At 39.2% G+C, this 20,237-nt stretch overlaps 1 protein-coding gene across 3 annotated transcripts in view, besides 1 other annotated feature; it reads left to right on the plus strand.

Moving 5' to 3' along the window:
• The window catches only part of LRMDA (leucine rich melanocyte differentiation associated), a 1,128,545-nt gene that overhangs the window by 888,859 nt on the left and 219,449 nt on the right, over window positions 1-20,237 (plus strand). For all 3 annotated transcript variants that reach the window (NR_131178.2, NM_001305581.2, NM_032024.5), the window contains one exon: window positions 3,919-4,003. Coding sequence is in view for 2 of the 3 variants with exons in the window: in NM_001305581.2 (NP_001292510.1) it covers window positions 3,919-4,003 (85 nt within the window). In the remaining variant the exon portion in view is untranslated. The remainder of the gene's footprint in view (window positions 1-3,918; window positions 4,004-20,237) is intronic.
• Window positions 15,749-16,043: a silencer, noted in NCBI's record as "tiled region #6857; HepG2 Repressive non-DNase unmatched - State 6:EnhF". NCBI's record gives its function as "represses a minimal TATA promoter and a strong SV40 promoter by Sharpr-MPRA in HepG2 cells {active_cell/tissue: HepG2}" and the evidence as "EXISTENCE:reporter gene assay evidence [ECO:0000049][PMID:27701403]".

Consider the following 20,237-nt stretch of genomic DNA (forward strand, 5'->3'; position numbering starts at 1 on the left):
GTCAATCAGAGGTGGCATTCATCCATGTTATACAAGTACTAGAGAATTGTTACAGGAATTTTTCTCTCATTGTGGGTTCATGTCAATATAGGAGTGCATGGATTAGAAAAGAAATAGGGCCTTTTGGTGTTTTTAAAAAAATTTCAGGCTTAAGTCTGAGAAATTCCAAAATGTAGAAAACTTTTAAAAATAATGAACACATGTAGAGATCATCCAGAATTTGTGGTTTCTAATATTTTGACATTTGTTTTAAGTCTTCTTTAAATGAAAGAAAGAACATCATATATACAGCTGAAGTTCCTTTCTCTCCACATCACACTAGCCCCAGTCCTACTACACTGCCCCTTGGCAGAAGCAAACATTTTCATGAATTTAGTGTACATTTTAAAATAATTTTTAGGTGTTTCCCTGCATACATGAAATCAACAAATTTTATATTTCCATAAATATTATATTACATTTATCATTTTGCAACTTGCATTTTCACTCTGTATTAAATTTTTAGACCTATTCAAAGCAAGATATAGAAATCAGGTTTTTTTCTCTTAAATACTAAATATTATTCTGTCTTACTGATATACAACATTATTTTTATTTATTTTCCTCATCGACAGACATTTGAGTTAATTCCAATTTCTTCTGTTATAAATAATGCTGCAATAAACATTGTTTTATGTCTCAATTTGCAGACCTGTGTGAGATTTTCCGTAGAGTATATATTTTAAGTGAAATTGCTGCACCAATTTTCAATTTTATTAGAGATTGCTAAGTTACTCTTTAAAGTAGTTGAACGAATGTACATTCCCACCAGCAAGGAATGAGAAGACAACAGTTTCTTTTTCCTTTGTTCTCACTAGTACCTGCTATTGTGAGACTTAAAAGTTTGTCAGTATGATGAGTGGAAAAATCGTATCTTGTTTTAATTTGCATTGCCCTTAGTCCTAGTAAATTTCAGCAACTTCTCTTATGTTTATTGACTGTTCAGGTTTTCTCATCTTTGAATTTCCAGACATTTCCTTTGTCTATTTTTCTATTGATTTAAAGACATTCTTTTTTTTTTTTTAAATTTGGATACTAATAATTTATTGTAGATGTTGCAAATATTTCCTGACAGGAGAATTTAAAAAGTAAAATGTAAAACTATAATTCCTTGCCATAGGCATTTAGAAAATGTGGCAAGAGCCAGGCGCGGTGGCTCATGCCTGTAATCCCAGCCCTTTTGGAGGTCGAGGCAGGTGGATCACCTGAGGCCAGGAGTTGGAGACCAGCCTGGGCAACATGGCAAAACCCCATCTCTACTAAAAATGCAAAAATTAGCTGGATATGATGGCACGTGCCTGTAATCCCAGCTACTCGGGAGGCTGAGGCATGAGAATTGCTTGAACCAGGGAGGCAGCGGTTGCAGTGAGTTGAGATCGTGCCACTGTATTCCAGCCTGGGCAAGAGAGTGAGATTCTGTCTCAACAACAACAACAACACATTTGCCAAGGATTCAAAGATTTAAGAGTCTTTATAGTCTTGAAGATTCATATTTACTCAAATTTGCTTATTCTCATTTTAGGCATATCTTCTTAACCCAGGTAAAAGAAAACATTATTTAAATTTTCTATTACTGCATACTCAATATACGATGGGTGTACTGCCTCAGTTTCAAGGCAAGTTCTTTATTCTTTGGCAGATACAGTATAAATTTAAGACATTTTCTTGTCCACTTCTTTCCTATGATAATTGTGTCTTTCTGAATTGTACATCTAATCCTAAGGTTCAGAGAACCAGTGTGAACATCACTGTTGAAAGGATCACAAGGGCTTCATTTTGAAAAAAGCCAAGTCAAAGAGCTGGTAGTTGGATCATTGATTTGTAGTTGTTTTCCTAAACATCCAGCCATAGAAGTCCCACCAAAAGGCATAGTTTGCAAAATCATTCTTTCCTGGATTATTTTCCATGATGTGAGTTTATCAATGGACACTGAGCAGGAAAGTAATTAAGTGCTGGTCATAGAATGATGACTGCAAAACAACAGAAGCCACACCATTTTTTGCTCTACCTACAGTACGAAACAAAACTAAATATCTCTTTTACGCTTGGTTACAGAATTCTAATGTGTAGCACAGTCAGAGATGTTTCTGAAAAGGTAGCATTTGTTCCAGTAATTGTAGAAAAAAGCTGTCATCAAATTGTCAACAGCCCAAATTGAGATTAAAAGTTCTAAGAAATATCACTACACAACAAACTAAAACTCATGTTGGATTTTTGGGTCTTTTTTTTAGCAATGAGATGGAGCAGAAATATTGACAGCTATGGCTTCCTATGGAGGAAGTATGATAGATCTAGGGAGGATGACCCCTGTACCCTCACCCCATATGTCCTGCCTCAAGCATTAAATAGATGCCCTATTTAGGACACTATCCTCATGTTTCATTCATCAGGTAGAAATTACAGGAGACCTTGAATACCCAATAGAGAGACACTTGGTGACTGTAGTATTTGATTTTTAATAATTTTGGGCTCTACATTCTTGCAGTGTGCTAAAAAGTGGAAAAGTCTTACCTACTTTAAAACACGTTTTTCTTGGTGGTTAAGCTTTTATTTTTGTGGACCCAATAGCCTTGGATCCAAATTTAAACACCATATATTTGCCTTGGAGCTGGAGTGAAGAAATGCTACCTGAAAACTGTTTTCTACCTAGGGACAGAGCTTCTGATTTTGCTCCACTCACACTCTTCCTGTAAGTCTCCACTGAAAGCCGCTTAGTCAAACGTCTCAAATGTCAGAAATGAAATTTAAAGGGTTTTTCTAGCAAGTAGGTCTAATCTCCTACTTAGTTTTGATTCCTATAATATAGGTAATCTCTTTGGAGAAAAGGCCTGCTTTTAGAAGGGCAAATATATCCCATAGAATGTATTTCCCGCTCCGGAAAGAAAAATGTAGCATTAATGAAATTTACTTTTTCATGAAGCTTGGAAAGATTGTTAGCTTCGGATTTTGATCCTAGCAGATGTTCTTTTTGGGATATTAAAAAAAAAAGCTACATTTGATTTAGGAATCTCAGTTAAGAGTTACAGCGGTAATGCTTCTTGCTACTAGCAGCTACACTGTGAGTGTGGCATACTGGCCATTGGTTCTGAGTGATAGCTGACCCCAAGCTGAAGTACTTTCTTTTGGCTTTAGCTCACAAGGATGTTGGGTTCTGAAAAGAGAGCCTTAGCAGCCTGGGCCATCTTGGACACAGTTCTATGGTTAAAGAGTTGTCTGCGTACAGTGAAAAAGCATCATCCTAGATGTATGTTATGTTATTTTCTTTTAGGCCTTGGAGTGACACATTTGTTGATAACCACTACATCCCAAATCCAAATTTCAGACGTATTTCTCACTGCTGTTGTTAAACTGAGCCAGAATCCCCAGTACACAGCACAAGACAATTTATATCCTTTCCTATGGTGACTTCATTCTGCCAAGTCTTTCATGCCACTGGGCTCATGGAAGTCAGCCCTGGTTTTCCCCATTTATCCTGGGGGCAGAGCTTAACCTCTTCACTAGTATCCAAAGAAATCTGCTCATAGCCAGCCTTTACTTTGTGGGAATTACTGGGTGAAGGCCTGATAGAAATCTAAGCCTTTAACTTTTCCTGTCTTCTGCCTCTCTCTTTTTCCTCCTCCCTCCTTTCATTTCAGCACATAAACTGCCCCCTTTTCTTAGAGCTATTCCATATGTACTGAGGCCCCTCAAAGCTTTGGATCTTACCCAACACTTACCAGAATATTATCTCAACAAAAACAGCTCTTGCTTCCTAAGAAGTATCTTGGTGAATAATATTTTCTCCAAGCTCAGATCCCAAGGAGACAGGTCTGGTAAATGAGGGTATTTGGTATTTGGTGTTTGGTGTTGCTTCATGTTGACTTTGCTTTTGTCACACAGGCTTCTAGTGAGGACGTTGCCAGCTCCCCGGAGCGCCACTACACGCCCTTGCCTTCTGCTTCCAGGGAACTCACCAGTCACCAAGGTTGGAACTCAGCTTTTTATTGCTCTCAGTGGGTGCAGGGAGGGACACTTGGCTGTGCAGAGCTCTGGCTCATTACTGCTGCCTCGGCACTTTAGAAAGAACACAGTGCTTTTTAAGTCCTTGATGAGAAAACCATACCTGTCACACGTAGTGATTTTAACCCATATTAAACAGAATTTAGTAGCAGTCTATTCAGGAGGCAAATAAATCTACGGTATAATATAATTTTGTGATTTTTTTTTCTTTAAATAAAGAGATTAGAGTACTTAAAAATTATCAAGGAGATGTTAACTCCAGTATTAGTGATGGAGAGAAATTGGGAAACTCACTAACATTTATAAAAGTATCGTTGTTTGAGAATATAACAATTAACAGCTATAATTTCAAAATGAATGAACTCTATGTTATAACTAAAAGGAATTCCAATTTGCCTGGCAACATTGAGAGAAGCCATGTGCAGTTTTTGCTGAATTCTCTTATTTTCAAAATATTAATTTGGTTTACTCAGTTTTTCCAAAGCCTTGCATGTCTGTTGCCATCTCTAGAGTCTTCAGCTTCAAAAGCAGACAGAACACTGACATGAAATATCATTTGAAAATGTCTTATCCCTAAGTTGGCTGTTTTAAATATTGTTTCCCCAAGAAGGAAATTCCACTTGTACACGTAAAGGTGAAAGTGAACAGGGGCTATTCTAGCATTGTCATCCCAGCAGCATTGCAGGATGAGCAGGTGGAAGAACAGGCTGTGGTGATGCTCAGAAAGTAGTGAATCTGACCCTCCAAGTCACCGTCTGGGCTCTGGGCAAATGGGATACTTGTATTCTGCAGGAAACGAAGAAGAGAGTAGTGCAGGATTTCCGATGTCTGTGGCTTGGACCTGTGTTGCCTGTTTGGTGTTTGGGCATCAATAGAACTTTTCTACATTTAAATATACTTTAGTTAATTTTGTGAAAAATCAATTTTGCTCAAAGTCAGGGAGAATAAGCAGCTGCCAACCTGCTATGTTTTGAGGGGCATGAACAGGTCTCTTTCACTGAATGTCCTTTTGAAGGTCTTAAGCATACATCCCTTTCGAGACTGTTTTTGGGGGAATTTCCCTAAAATAACACCACATCTAGATGGAGCAACAAATTAACCCTTAAATTAGCCTCATATCCTCATGTGTTTATTTATTGGTTTCTTGTATTTGAATAAGGGTATTTTTACTTTAGAGTCATTGAATAAGTTGCATAGAAACTGAAGTCTCAGAAACCTCACAGCCACTTGTAAAGTTTATCTGGCCCTGAAATTGAGATTTCACTATGGAGAGATATGATCAGATAGATGATAATCATTAGGAATAGGGCAAATATCATCTGTCATTTTTAACAGTAATATAAAAAATCTGAGACTTGAAGAAAGGAAATATAACACAATATAGTTTTAAAATATTTGGAGTAATATTTGGAATATGGAAAAATGCCTAAAGTAGTTAGAGTTCAAATAAGTGCTCTTGGATGACATCAGGGCTTAACATCAATGAGAGAAATGTAAAGACGTTATTTAAAGAGAGCCAACACAGACATCTCAATTTTACTGAAGAAAATCCCTACACATTTAACATGTTGGTTGCCTGACCAGTGCTGACTTGGTTGTTGATAAAAGCAAGTCCATATCATAAAATGACGTTCTTTGGGCTGATGGCCATAAGGAGACCAATAGAGAGAAGACCGAAGAAGTTCATTAAAGCTGGATTATTGAACTGATCTATGTAGGAGAAAGGTGAGACTAATATATTTCAGCTTAGCATAAACCAATTTGGCTTGAACCAACTTGGCTTTCCCCAAGTGAGAAAGCCATTATTTTTTGGCACTAAAATGAAACCACTTAATACTATCTCATTTTTTTAGTATTTAAAAGAATTATTTCAAGTTTCTGATCATGTACATCACGAAAACATTTGAATGTCATTTGTTAATACCTTCATGCAAACAGCTTACAAACATTTATGCAGAAGGGGACATTTCATGGTGTGAGGACAAATTACATCAATTCTTTCTCAAGTGAAATTCTCCATGATGTCTGAAACTTTTGTCTATACAATCCTCAGTGGAAGTTCTATTTGCAAATAATTTTTTATTCATCGAGTTCCCAATCTCTTTTCCTTCCACACCAACAACTACAAAAACTGGCGGGCAGTAGTTCATGTGCAAATTGCTATTTTTCTGTACATGCCATTTTCCCTTTACTTGTCCTTTTATGTAACTTCCAATGTCAACTATGATAGGTCCAAGATTCATGTCCTAAAAACTGTAGATTCAAATGCAAAGGAAGTCCGGGCTTAGAATAATGATCAGGAGACCTGGGACTCAATTTTTCCATCTGTTGCTTGTAGATAATCCATATATCACAGGGATAGTAACATGTCGTATTTTGCTTCCTGCATGAAACTTTTACTGATCTGAGTTATGTTGATTTTCTTCTTTCTATAGGTATGTCTGATATTTGTTTCTATCTTCTAGGTGCAATTGTTCATATTCTACTTTGTATGATAGAGGTCAGGTTATGTGTATCTTAAACTCCTCATAAATGAAAACTCCCTGAGAGGCAGCAGTAAGTCCAAATCATCTTTTTTTTTTTTTTTTTGAGATGGAGCCTCACCCTGTCACCCAGGCTGGAGTGCAATGGCACAATCTTAGCTCACTGCAACCTCCGCCTCCTGGGTTCAAGCGATTCTCCTGCCTCAGCCTCCTGAGTAGCTGGGATTACAGGTGTGTGCCACCATGCCTGGCTAATTTTTTGTATCTTTAGTAGAGACAGGGTTTCACCATGTTGACCAGGCTGGTCTCGAACTCCTGACCTTGTGATTCACCTGCCTCGGCCTCCCAAAGTGCTGGGACTACAGGTGTGAGCCACCACGCCCAGCCTCATCTTCTCTTTGACATCAGTGACACTGCCCATTCTTCAGGTATCAGCTTACATATCACAGCTCCAAAGGAAACTTGCCTGATACCCCCTACACACTTATATTAGGCCAGTGTTCCCTGTTCAGGGATTATCTTCCTAGAAAGGCCATAAGCTGTTGGGAAGAGTGGTTGTGATTACATATGTTCACCACTTTATCTGCAATGCCTGGCACAGGGCCTCCTACCTAAATGGCGCTCCACATATATTTGTTCAGTAAAGGCTGAGTAATAGGAACCCAGGGGAAGGGTGAGTATCTTAGTCACCTCTGCGAGGTAACTTGATTGCATGTGAGAAAGGAGACCCTGCTTCCTTTGGGGGTGAACACACTAAAGGGAAAGGTCCAGCTGTGTGGACCTCAGACCTCAATTCTGTTGCTTTCATAAACCCAAACCATCAGGGATGGGTGTCATATGTGTTCATTCATTACCAGAAAGCATTTAGTCACAAAGCCTAACTTCTAGATAGTTGATTATTTTAATGTTGTAGTTTTCAAGCATTGGCGGTTTGACGGTAGGGAAGGGAATAGGATGAATTGAAGTAACTGATGGAATTATTTTACTAGAACAGAAACTCTCAAGGAAGGGGTCAGACTCTCAGTAAGATACAGATTGTGGTACACACATGGATTTAGAATGGTCCACCTGAATTCTTTCTGAGAATGCTGCCCTGGGTTGGAGCATATCTTTGGAATGAGGAGGACATGGGAATGTGTCAGTAATCTCAGTTGTTCCCTCGTGGCAATCTACATATTGTATCCTTGGCTGTGTCCATGTTATGAGGAGCGCTAAAATATCTGTTGGAGAAATGTCCCTTTAAATATATTACGAGTACAGGACATGCCCCAGCGTGCCAGGTATTGCCGTTCTTTATCTGGTAGCTCTTAGAAGTAGAATTCACATTTGTACAGGGCATTATGTCTTTTGGGGAAAACATTTCTATTTAGAATGTAAACTATATCATCCTCAGGGTAACCCTGTAAAGTGAGGAGTGCAAATATTTTTCCCATTTAACAGAGGGAGACATCAAGAATTGCTGGGGATGATGGAGCAACTCAACAACAGGCAAGGGAAACAAAATCAAAGCCCTGTGCCCTTAATTCTCAGGTCCCCCTGACCTTTGTCCTTTACCCAGTGCGTATGAAGCAAGTGTAGGTAGGACTAACTGTGGCCTTGAGCTGGAAGGAAGAGTCAAAAAAGTAGAGGGAGAGGCATGGCCTGGAAATGTTCACCACTGCCATGCGTTTCCAAAGCCTGTGCTAAGGCTGCTAGGAGCTACAGCATCCCACTTGCCTGCCTCTGTCAAAAGAATTGCATTACTCCTGCCCTGCCATTCTGTATTTTTAAATTACAGAACAATAAAATCAGGAGTGGAGAAAATTTGAAAACAAAAAGGGTGAATGCTCCATGTCAGTCTGGATTCAGACAGGGAAAATAGAAGGCACTGTATGTATTCCAGTAATGAAGAGTTTTAATGGAAGGAATTAGAGGTGCTGCCACCACCCAGAGTCACAACCTCAGCACTGAACCAGTGATTCTCAGGAGCTTGCTGGAAAGTTTCTGTGGATCACAGGAACATCTGGGTGTCTCCCACTGACTTTCTCTATCTGAAGCACCAGTGAGGGGATTCTCACGTTCACCTGGAGACTGTTTCAGTCATTGCTGTTATCCATGCGTTGCCCTGCTCCTCCATCTCTCTAGATTTCCAAATCATACTCCAGCATCTCTCTTTGGCCCAACTCTAACCTAGGCTGATTCACTGAAGGCGATTCTCCGATGTAGTTTTCAGTTCTCCCTCGAAGCTACAGAGAAAACCTTAGAAGAAAGCAGATGGTGGTAATGGTAAAACAGATAATCCAGCACATCTACCATAACCCTGCCTTGCCAATAGCTATCATGTGGAGGATCTCATTTCAACTTGTCTGCACGCACATTTTGCAAGATAATTGCAAGCCTAGTGAATGTCCCTGAATTATTTATTTCCTGATGCTTATACTATAGTCTTGAAGATATGCCATAGTTAGCTTGCCATATTAAACATTGAACTTGAAATGTGTAAAAGAAAGAAAGCAAAAAGAAAAAAAATGAAGAGGAAATTTGCTGTGAAACTTGCTTAGAGATGATAACCTTTCTACTTTGACTATTGTTGGCAATCTTGCCATTATTTTTATTGACACAGTTGTTAGGTACTCATCTTCCTCTCCAACCAGGGGCTTGGTCTATTTGTGTTTGAAATTGATTGCTGGGACTGTCACAAAGTAATTTATATAGCAACTTATTATAATTAGTTATCATTTGCAGTTTCCTAAATGTGAGTTGCATTTTATGCTTAGCAATTGATTTTTCTGTATATCTCCATGAAGCAGCTCAATGTATGCCATCCAAAAAAGAAGAAAAAGACCGAAAGAAAAACTGTGTTTTTTTAAATTATTTAAAACATTTTTAGCCTGAGATATCATAAAATACGTTTCCACAGAAGACATAAATACAGAGTGTTTTGCTTCAACTCATTAAATCGCCAAAGTGAAAGTGAATAAAAGGAAATTTAAATGTCTGTATGTGAAGAGGTAGCAATGTAGACAAAAATGTTTGGGATGGGGAGATGTTGGCCAGAAAAACTTCATGCCAACAAGCATAATGCTTTCAGGAGGGCTCAAAAGGAAGTTACTTGATGACTAAACTATTGCTCACAATTTGTTTTGGGCTTATAGGATTCGGAGGTGCAGGGGCAGAATGATGCGATACTTTTCCTCATCTATTATAAGGGTCACAGCCCATAACAAAAGACAGGTTAACAAGAGAAGAGGATAAGAAATTTACTTAATCAAAGTTTTCTGAGATGGGGGGGCCTTTAGAAATGAAAGGGAAAACTAGTTTTATGCTTATGTTGATGAAGAATGGACAGCTGTGTAGAAACATGGTTAGACAAAGGGTATGATCTAATGGGAATAGATTGAGGGGAAACCTAGCAAGGCCTGTCTGTTCAGATTCTTCTTGGCCTCTCTATGTAGCATTCCTTCCCCTGGTTATAGGACAGAACCCTCTGAAATGAGAGTCTTCAAAGGAGAAGAGAGAGTGTGAATTTTCTAGGTTTTATGGCTGGCTTTAAGGGATAGGATTCTAGTTTCGATGACCCCACTTAGGGAAGAGGAATTCTGGTTTCTATAACTCACTGCAGGGCAGAGACAGAGGGATGAGGGAGCAGGTAAGAGAAGGCCAGAGAGACCTTGCTTCTGAGGCCCTTCCAGTGTCTTTTGTTTCAAAGCACTCAGCACGTCAAGGTGCCACAATTTCGGGTATTGTGTTTTGAGCCCTGTCAGAGGCAGTATGTCTCTTTTAGCCAACTTTTAGTTTTTCATTTTTAGATTTCTACTATCTTTTCATGTCAGCCACAGGGAATGTGAAAGCTAAGTAGGTCTGATCATTATAAACAAAATCTACAGAAAACAATAGCAAAGACTCAGGAAAATAGATGCATTTATTTAGGCCAGCTTAATAGCTTAGCATCAAGGAATCTTTTGCCTACTGCCTCTTGGTTATCACTGACCATTTATAAACATGAGGCCAGGTGCCGTGGCTCACGCCTGTAATCCCAGCACTTTGGGAGGCTGATGCAGGTGGATCACTTGAGGTCAGGAGTTCGAGACCAGCCTGGCCAACATGATGAAACCCCATCTCTACTAACAATACAAAAATTAGTTGGGTGCAGTGGCAGGCACCTGTAATCCTAGCTACTTGGGAGGCAGAGACAGGAGAATTGCTTGAACCCAGGAGGCGAAGGTTGCAGTGAGTGGAGATCGTGCCACTGCACTCCAGCCTGGGCGACCAAGTGAGAGTCCGTCTCAAACAAAACAAGCAAACTAACAAAAAGATGGGATGAACAACCTGATGGTTCTGGAGCCTTTGCCACATAGGTCTCACCTAAGGTCAGGCCCTATGAGTGAGACAGCCTGCTTATATATTGCCTTCTGCCTTCCAGAATATTTTTATTAGTCTTTCAAGAGAGCTAAGCATCAAATAATTTCTCAAAAAATTGTCAATGACTCATTGAAAGTTCATAGAAGCACAACAGATCCAAATTTCTCCTGTGGATAATGTATTGAAAAGTGGCAAAAGGAAAGAGAGAGAAAAGAAAAAAGAAAAAAACCTCCTTAGAGACAAGAATATGTTTTTGTCCAGGGGTCCTGTCAAATAAGAGTATGGCCTTGGCTTGTATCTTTTAGACTTCTTGCCACCACTGTGCCTTGACTGTGTGGGGGAAGAGTGTGTTGGTTCCTCGTGCAGAACTATTATTAGCATTTGCTAATTATGTAAAATGATTTCCTCTGATGACATTTTCAACAGAACCCATTACTTTAGTTTTCTTTCCTTCATAATGCTTTTATGGGCTTATAATCTTGGTGGAATTCTCAGATGCTGAGAGATGCTAAAGTTTCCTTTATTTAATCGAGGTGACTAGTGATTTGACAGTAGTGGTTGACAGGTTTATTTTATCTGCGTGGCAGTAGGAGTCTATTTTCAGTGTGTGCACTCTGTTCCAAAGTAAAAGGACTTTACTAAGTGCTGAATAAATTGTACTTTCCTTTGATTCTAGACCTTGCTGAAATGGTTTAAAAACTCCGGTCTGGGTCATCAAATTCATCTCCTTGCTACTTTGCAGGGTCAATAGCTTCACTCTGTACAGAGCCGGGCTGGGTGGATTGGAATGGAGGGTAGTGTAGATTAAAACTTCCGCATATATATAGATAGATGTGCATGTGTGCACTCGCTGTCTGCGAGGGTGGCAGTGATGGAAGAGCAAGCCAAGTGGAATTGAAGATGGATGAATCTGTTAGACTATTACCAAGACTGGCATGGAGTTTAGCCAGGAACTTTAAGCAACCTCCTTTAAACATTTGAAATCCATAGGGGTCCATTTCCTCTCCTTTTCCTCCAAGGATGATTTTTCATTTGCAGTCTCTGAGATTGCTTTATTTCTATTCTTTGGGCAGAATTGTGGTATACTTGTAGACAGAGAAGGGCTACGAATCTGGTTTTTCTCTCCCAGAGCAAAGCAAGGAGGAAAAAATGGATTTCAGTTTTCCCCTGCCCCTCAAATAGTAGCAAACCCTACTTCTGTAAAATGAGAGGTCAGAATGACAACTCTTCCCCCAACAGACAGTCCCAATAAAAAATGATAGTAAAAACATGCTCCCTTTATCTTAACAAAATGGAAGCCTAGAATGTACAGGGTGGAAGGTTCTAAATGTGCTTATGTTTTAGAGTCCTGGGCTGTTTCTTGCCCCTTTTTATAAAGAAAAAAGTATGATATGGTCAGTAAGACAAAGATTGCTATGAGCACAGTCATTCAAGAATCTCCCCAACATGTCTTCATTTAGTACCTATTGTGTACTGAGTGTATTGTTAGGATTTGTGGAGAATTCAGAAATAGAGAATATTATCTCTATCTTCTAGGAATTTATGGTTTGATTGAGGAGATCCCAAAAATGAAGTAATACCAACCAAACAATATATTATATATTACATAAATAAGAGCTCTATTAGTTGGTAAAAGCTGCAAATGCTCTCAACGTTTAGAAAAGATAGCGTGCAATGTAGGTGAGACTACTCAGGCATGACTCTTTGGAGGATGTTGGCACTGAGCTTTGAAGAACATGTTAAGTGGAGAGCAAAAGAAGGGCATTCCAGAAAGATAAATGGGTAAAGATAAAGCACAAGGACAAGAACAGGTAGAACTGATGAGAGAAAGGGACCCTGTTTTGAAAAGGTCAGAAATAAGGTTCCTTATGTAGGATAGGTCCACATTATGGCAGGCCTTGGACAGACAGAAGGGTTTATATTTTATTTAAAACCATGCTGTAGGATTATTAATCTGCAAGCAGTATCCAGGGGTAATTGGAAAGGAGAGAGCCTGGATTCAAGGAGGCCATGGTGGGATGGGATTGGAAGGAAATTGTTTCAGTCTTAGAAGCCTTAGATTTCCAGATAACCAGGTTCTGTGCCCATAGACTGTGATGCCTCCAAAGAGCAGGTTTCTAGCAAAGGTAATTTAGAAAACAACTTGGTAACAGATGGGGAAGACAGCTGGGGCCTGGATAGATACTGCCAGGAGAGCAGGAGTGGGGGCCATGCACAGGGAACCTTATGGCCACTATGGAGTTGTTGTATGAGGTTGCTGATGGTTTGGTCACGAGGGCTCAGGCATCAGAGAAACTGGACAGTCAGTGTTTTTCCTCCGCATGTTATTCAGAATATTTCTGATGTTGGCTTTTGAAACTAAAACACAGGGCCCAGGATAATGTTACAATAATCCAGCATTCGATGATCAAGGCCTGGAGTGGCTGGCTGGCTGACTGGGAGTACAAAAAATAAAGGAAGGAATATGAGAAACATTCTGTTGCAAACACAATAGACCGAATACTGATTATATTTCAGGGTAGAGAGAAACAGAGGACCAGAAAGCTATAAGGAAGCCAGCATGGTGTGTGGGAGGCTGTGGTCTCTGCCTGTTGCCCCTCTGTCGGTTCATCCTCATCACAGGATTCTCTCCCACCATTCATGCATGAACTCTAATCTGGCCTGTTAAATGGAAGACCGGTGGAGTTAATGTAGTGGAGCTGTGGCAGCAGGAACAAACGTACAAAAAGCAGGCAGAGCAGCCACAAACATTTGTTCTCATTCTAGCCTTTGGCTTAAAGATGAGCTTCATTCTCTTAAGAACTAATAAATGTCCAGGGTGTTTTATTTCTGAATCTTGGGCTCCTGGAAGGAGAGTGATTTGAAGCCAATGCTTTTGGTCTAAATTGTTCAGCCGTGAGCTCGGCCCAGTATTAACTTCCTAGTCCCAGTTCTTCTGACTCTTTTTATTTCCCTGTCTCTTGTAGAAAACTTTACCCCTGCCCCAGGTTTTTCCTCATGTAGTGATTTTACAACCTTTTTTGGAACAAATAAACAAACATCTGGAATCATGTGGCACATTTAATTAAAAAGTTTGCATTTGGCCAGAAATGGTAAAATCATGAAAAATGGCCTGTCGGTGAGCTCAAGAAGGCCAAATGATGACGTTGTTGGCTGCAAACGGACTGAAATTGAGGGAAGTGAACACCTGCTCAGCTCGGCCTGCCGTCCTCCAGCTTCCTCCTCCAGCCATTAATATTTACAGCAGTTTCTTTATCCATTCTAATGAAATTTTTTGGTTGGGGCTGGTCTGGGGAGAGGGCTGTTACTTTTCCAATAACCTTGGATTTGTTGTGATGTGTGTACTTTATAAAGGGTGTGGTATTGGGCTTTTTGGGCTTTTCATTTCCCTTGCTCAGAATTCCATATGCTTCAGGTCACTGCAGGGGCCTGTTGCTGTTTCTTCAATCAGTCACTCAACCATGGTTTTCATGAGAGCCGTAACATGTGGAACCCTGCACCAGGGCATGTAGGAGATGAAAAAGAAGCTGTGGGCTCTGCCTTCAGGAATCCTACAGTCTAATTGGAGACAAGGTCCTATGCAGAGAAAGCAGAGGCCAAGCTAGATGGAAGAGTGCAGAGAAGGGAGGGATCTGTGATGATAGAAAGATTGGGAGGTGGCCTTGGATGAAGGTGAGAACTGAGTTGAAAGAACTTTCCCTGCGTGAGTTCCAAGTGTGAAAGGATTTAGGAAGAGATCAAGTTGTGGATTCTTGTCTAGTTTCTGGTCATAATCTAGGTGAAAGTAGGGGGTGGATCATTTAAAGCAAGAATTAGATATGATTATTCTACATTTCCAGTTAGCTTCTCCTTTGCAAGACATAGCTAGGGTGAAGTAAAATTTAAGTTTTGTTTGCAAATTAGGATAAAACATTAAGATGATCTGGCTTTGCAGAGTGTAGTGCTCTCATATGTCTCCCACATGAGGATTTATACCGAGGATGAGATTATTCTTAGGACAAAGTGAGAAGTTTTTCTTGTTGCACAGAATACAAGGGAAGTAGCCAGGTGCTGCAAATATAGTAAGCACTGTTTAGGTTAGATCCAAAGGAAGTATGAACCCATAGGTATCTGAGACATGTCTCACAATAAATTTAGAAAGTTTATTTTGCAAAGACTTAAGGATGCGCCTGTGACACAGCCTCAGGAGGTCCTAATGACATGTGCCCAAGGTGGTCTGGGTATGGCATGGTTTTATACATTTTAGGAAGACATGAGACATCAATCAAATACATGTAAGATATACATTGGTTTGGTCCAGAAAGGCAGATAACTTTAAGTGGGGGGAGCTTCCAGGTTATAGGTAGATTTAAAATTTTTCTGATTGGCAATTGGTTGAAAGAGTTGTCAATAGAAAGGAACAGCTGGGTGATATAAGAGGTTGTAGAAACCAAGGCATTATCATGCAGATGAAGCCTACAGGTAGCAGGCTTCAGAGAGAATAGATTGTAAATATTTCTTATCAGACTTAAGGTCTATGTTGATGTTAAATGCTGGTTGGCTTTTCCTGAATTCCAACAGGGAGGAGGGCATAATGAGGCATGTCCAACCCACCCCCGACTTTCCATCATAGCCTGAATCAGTTTTTCAGGTTAACTTTGGAGTGCCCTGGCCAACAGGAGGGAGTCTATTAAGATAGTTGAGGGAGGCTTAGAATTTTATTTTTGGTTTACAGAAGGATGAGTATTGTTTTGAACTAGGGTGTGGATTGGCAAGGGAGATAGAGAAATCACCATTCCCCAAGGCCTTTTACTGAAGGACATGCTCATCTCTCTTTGAGGTAGCCTGAAGGAAGTGAAATGAAACTTAAACAATTTTCAAATCCTGACTGGATGTAATCCTGGGTTCTCTATGTCAGTGCTGGTTCAGCTTTTTCATAAAATGAAATCAGGGTTTCACCTTGACCCTCCTGGACTTGTGCAAGCACAGGGAGATACAGGATCATGCTGGACGGAGCATAACTTCAGTTGCCAGAGGAGTTCTTAGTCCTCAGCTCTTTATTATTCTTGTGCATCTGTTTCCTTAAATACTCTCTGCAGAAGCATTAGCATGAAAATAAAAGAGTACAGCAACTTGGAATTTTCCATTTGTAGCTTCCTTAGTCTGTGGGGTCAAAGTTCTGTCCTCAGGGATGCTAATGCAAACTCTGTGTGCTGTTCCAGGGCAAATGTTTCTCAACTAAATGACAAGAGGGGGTGGGGAGCCAGGGAAATAATGCAGTGCTAATTCCCAAACACAGACTGCCCAGAGGTCCCAATTTAAATTGCTGCTTCCCCAACTCTATTCCCACCCTCCCCCAAAGGAAAAAAAAATATCCTGTGTTGTTAGGACAGACATCTGTGTGAGAGCAATAAAACAGTCTTCTCCCTTGTGGATTAGCTCTTTATTCCTTTATTTATCTTGCTATACCTCATCAGTTTATCCTAAATCAAGGAGAGTCAAAGAGGATAAGATGCAGTCCCTTTTTTGTTTTTGATTAAGGAAACCCATACAACCATCCTCCTACACAAATTTCTTTTCTCAAGAGATAGCTTTCCTTGTTATGTCTAATTTCTCCCCACCCCCCTTTTTTTAATCTGCCTCCTTGGAAACTCTCTGGAACTTTTATTTCATATAATGTTCAAATCAGAAAATGAAACTCCTCCAGAGACAGGTTAGATAGGGCAGTGAATGTTGGCATGTCTGCATGATTCTAAAGTACAAGGGGAACTAGGATAGCAGACTTAACATATTCCATAGCCTCCATTTCTTCTTCCAAATCCCTGGAAGTTTATTAATTCATTCAAGAGATATCTATAGAGCATGTTCTATGTGTCAAGCCCTGTTCAAAACATTAGAGATAGAGCTGTGCATAAAGTGGGCAAACATTTCTGCCTTCAAAGAGCTTATGTTCTAGTCAGAGAGAGGATCTATAACTAAGATAAAAATAAAACCACCACATGGTATATCGGTACTAAGATGAAAACGACAGCAGATCAAGGGCATGAGAGAGTATGTGTTGGCAATTTAAGATCTGACAGCCAGAGAAGTCACCACTGAGAAGATGATGGTGGAGTAAAGACCTGGGGAGGTGAGGCATGGAACCCTGAGAATGTCTGAGAGAAAAGTGGTCCAGGCTGAGGAAGGAGCAAGTGCAAGGCCCTGAGGTGGGAGCGTGCTCCTGGCATACATGAAGCACAACCAAGAGGTCAGTGTGGCTGGAGTTAGTAATCTAGGGGGAGAGTGGTAGATGAAGCCAGAACAATACCAGGGGCTAGAACTTGTAGCCCATTGTTAAATGTTAAACCCAGGAGCATTAAAATTTTAAAGAATTTATTTGAGCAGATGGTGATTCATGAATCAGGCAGCACTAGATTGCACGTGGTTCAGGGCTCCACCAAGAGGGTGTGAGGGAATATTTTTTATAAGGTGTTTGTGGAAGCCAAGACAAAGAAATTATTTGATTGGTTAAAGTGGAAAGTCCCAGTTAGAAGTTAGTTAGTGGTTTCTTGTTGGTTAAGCTTAAGTTTCATTTTACTGCTTACATTGACTTGGGTTTTGGTTTGCTTATGTAGGAATCCAAAGTGCTGGAACCATCTCAGCCTAATGGCTTCCTGATAGATTATTTTAACACTGTTTACTGTGACTAAGACAGGAAGCTATTTCAAGGCAGAAGAAATAATAGAAATGCTGTTACCCTTCTCCTTATAGAAAAAAAAAAAAACAATTCCCAAATGAATAACTAACTGGAAAAGAAAGAAAGGGTACTGCTTTTGATCAGAAACTATAGATTTCCTGCAAGATCACAGCCCAAAACAAATGCAACAGAGTTTCAAAATGCAGAACCAAGACCCAGCAGGGTGGCATATACCTACAAGCTCAGATATACCTGACGTAGGAGGACTGCTTGAATCCAGGAGTTTGAGACTGTAGTGTTGAGTGATTGAGCCTGTGAATAGCCATTGTATTCCAGCCGGGGCAGCATAGTGAGACACAGTCTCATAAATAAATAAATAAATAAATAAATAAATAAATAATAAATAAATGGATGTAGAACTAGCTTCAGGAGTTCTCTAAGCACAGAGAAAGCTACTGGGGGCCTCATAGCAGGCAATAATTTGGGCTTCCTCAGTGGGTACAGCCACATGGGTCACATTGTCTGTATACTTCTCTCCATCCTTAGTTTAGGCATCAAGTAACAGAGCTATCTCTAAGCCAGGGCAGTAAGTATGAGTGATTGGATCAGAAAAATAAGATGGCAAGAGTTGGTACAAATGTATTAAGTCATAATAAATGAGAATGAACTAGACTAAAAGACAGAGCACTACCAGATTTGGTTAAAAAAAAATGTAAAATAAAATACTTTTTCAAGAGGTGCATGTAATAAAATGACATAGAAAACTTGAAAATACTGGAATTAAAGGACAGAAATACTGGATACCTGCTAACACAAAATCCAGGAAGAGCAATGTTAATATTAGACAAAATAAGACTCAAGATGATTACTGAAATGACAAAGAGGGTTATTTTGTATAACTATGAAGATATAATGGGAATCTAAAACAATCATGAATCTTAATGTACCCAATGACATGGCTTTGAAATTCATAAAGCAGAAACTTCTAGAAATACCAGAAAAAACTAACAAAGTCACCATCATGAAGACTTTAGCACATCTCCTATGAAAATGACAGCTAAATGAATGGACTTTTTACAATACCTTCCTTTTGTTACATGGAAAATAAGGTGATATTCTTTAAAAACCTGTATGAAACAGTCACAAATTGGCTCATATCCACAAACTGGCTCATAAAGAAAAGTGTAACATGCTTCTTTCAAATTAACTGACCATAACTAAGTCAAATTAGAAATTATATTAAAAAAGGAAGACTTCCTTCCCCCTCCTTCCAAAAAAAAAAAAAAAAGTAAAAGAGGTAAGAAAAAGAACTATAGACTACAGAATTAGAAATAAATGAAGTTTTGGGTTTATGAGGAAATAGTATACAGTATACTTTAAGAGTAAATGGAAGTGATAACACTGTAGTATATTAAAAACTGTGGGATATACCAAAAGTCTAATTAAAGGATTTTTCCTCCTTAGAAACATAAACTGTAAAACAAGGAATAGAAGATAAAAATATATGAACTATGTTTTCATATATCCTAATTAAAAAACCAAGCAAACCTAATGACACATGGAAGGACTTAATAAAATAAAAACAATGTACAATATACTTTATCAACAATACCAACAGATATTTAAGAAAAAGGTGAGCCTAGCAGATCAAAGTAAGAAAAAATAGAGATTGACATTTAACATTAGGAATAATGAGACAAAAAAAACCCCACAAAGCTATTGAGCTTCATATTGATAAATCTGAAAATCTAAGTAAAACAAGTAATTTTAAGGCAATTATAGTTACCAGTGCTGTCTCAAGAAGAAATATAAGTCTAAACAGAGAAAAAAATAAGATGATAAAAGAAACTTTAAAAATAACCATATAGCCCTCAAAGAGAAGTAGCATCTCATCTTTTATAATTTATTCCAGAAAATAAAAAATATGGAAAATTACTCTTTTTCTCTTACTAGGAATCCATAACTGACCCTAAGCAATGTGAGAAAACATGAAAATGAAACTCTAGGTCAGTCTCTTTTTCAAATATGAATAAAGGAATCCTCCATGAGAAATTAACAATAAGACTTAGTAATGCATTTAAAAAATAGTACTTCCTGACCAAGTAGGGTTTATCTCAATATTGAAAGGTTAGTTTACTTTTAGAATTTATCAGTAAATGTGTCATATTGGCATATTAAAAAAGAAAATGGGATTATATATAAGGATGATGTTACTAGTTATAAAAAGAGAGGGAGGCCAGGCATGGTGGCTCACGCCTGTAACCCCAACACTTTCGGAGGCCAAGCAGGGTGGATTGTTTGAGCTCAGGAGTTTGAGATCGGCCTGGCCAATATGGCAAAACCTTGTCTCTACTAAAAATACAAAAAATAGCTGGGCATGGTGATGCATGCCTGTAGTCCCAGCTACTTGGGAGGCTGAGGCATGAGGCTCTCTGGAGCCCAGGAGGCGGAGGTTGCAGTGAGCCAAGATCGTGTCACTGCACTCCAGACTAGGTGACAGAGTGAGAACCTGTATCAAAAAAAAAAAAAAAAAAAAAAGAGAGAGAGAGGGAGAAACCTATGAAATTTAACAACCATTTCTGCTAAAATCTCTCAGTAAACACAGAATAGATAGGAACTTCCCTAACTTGATAAAGTGTATCTACCAGAAACCTATAGCAACCTGCATATGAAAGAGGGATTTAAAAAATTTCCATCAAAGTCTCAGAACAAGCAGAGAA

The sequence above is a fragment of the Homo sapiens genome, chromosome 10, assembly GCF_000001405.40.
Source record: "Homo sapiens chromosome 10, GRCh38.p14 Primary Assembly".
Lineage (NCBI taxonomy): Eukaryota > Metazoa > Chordata > Mammalia > Primates > Hominidae > Homo > Homo sapiens.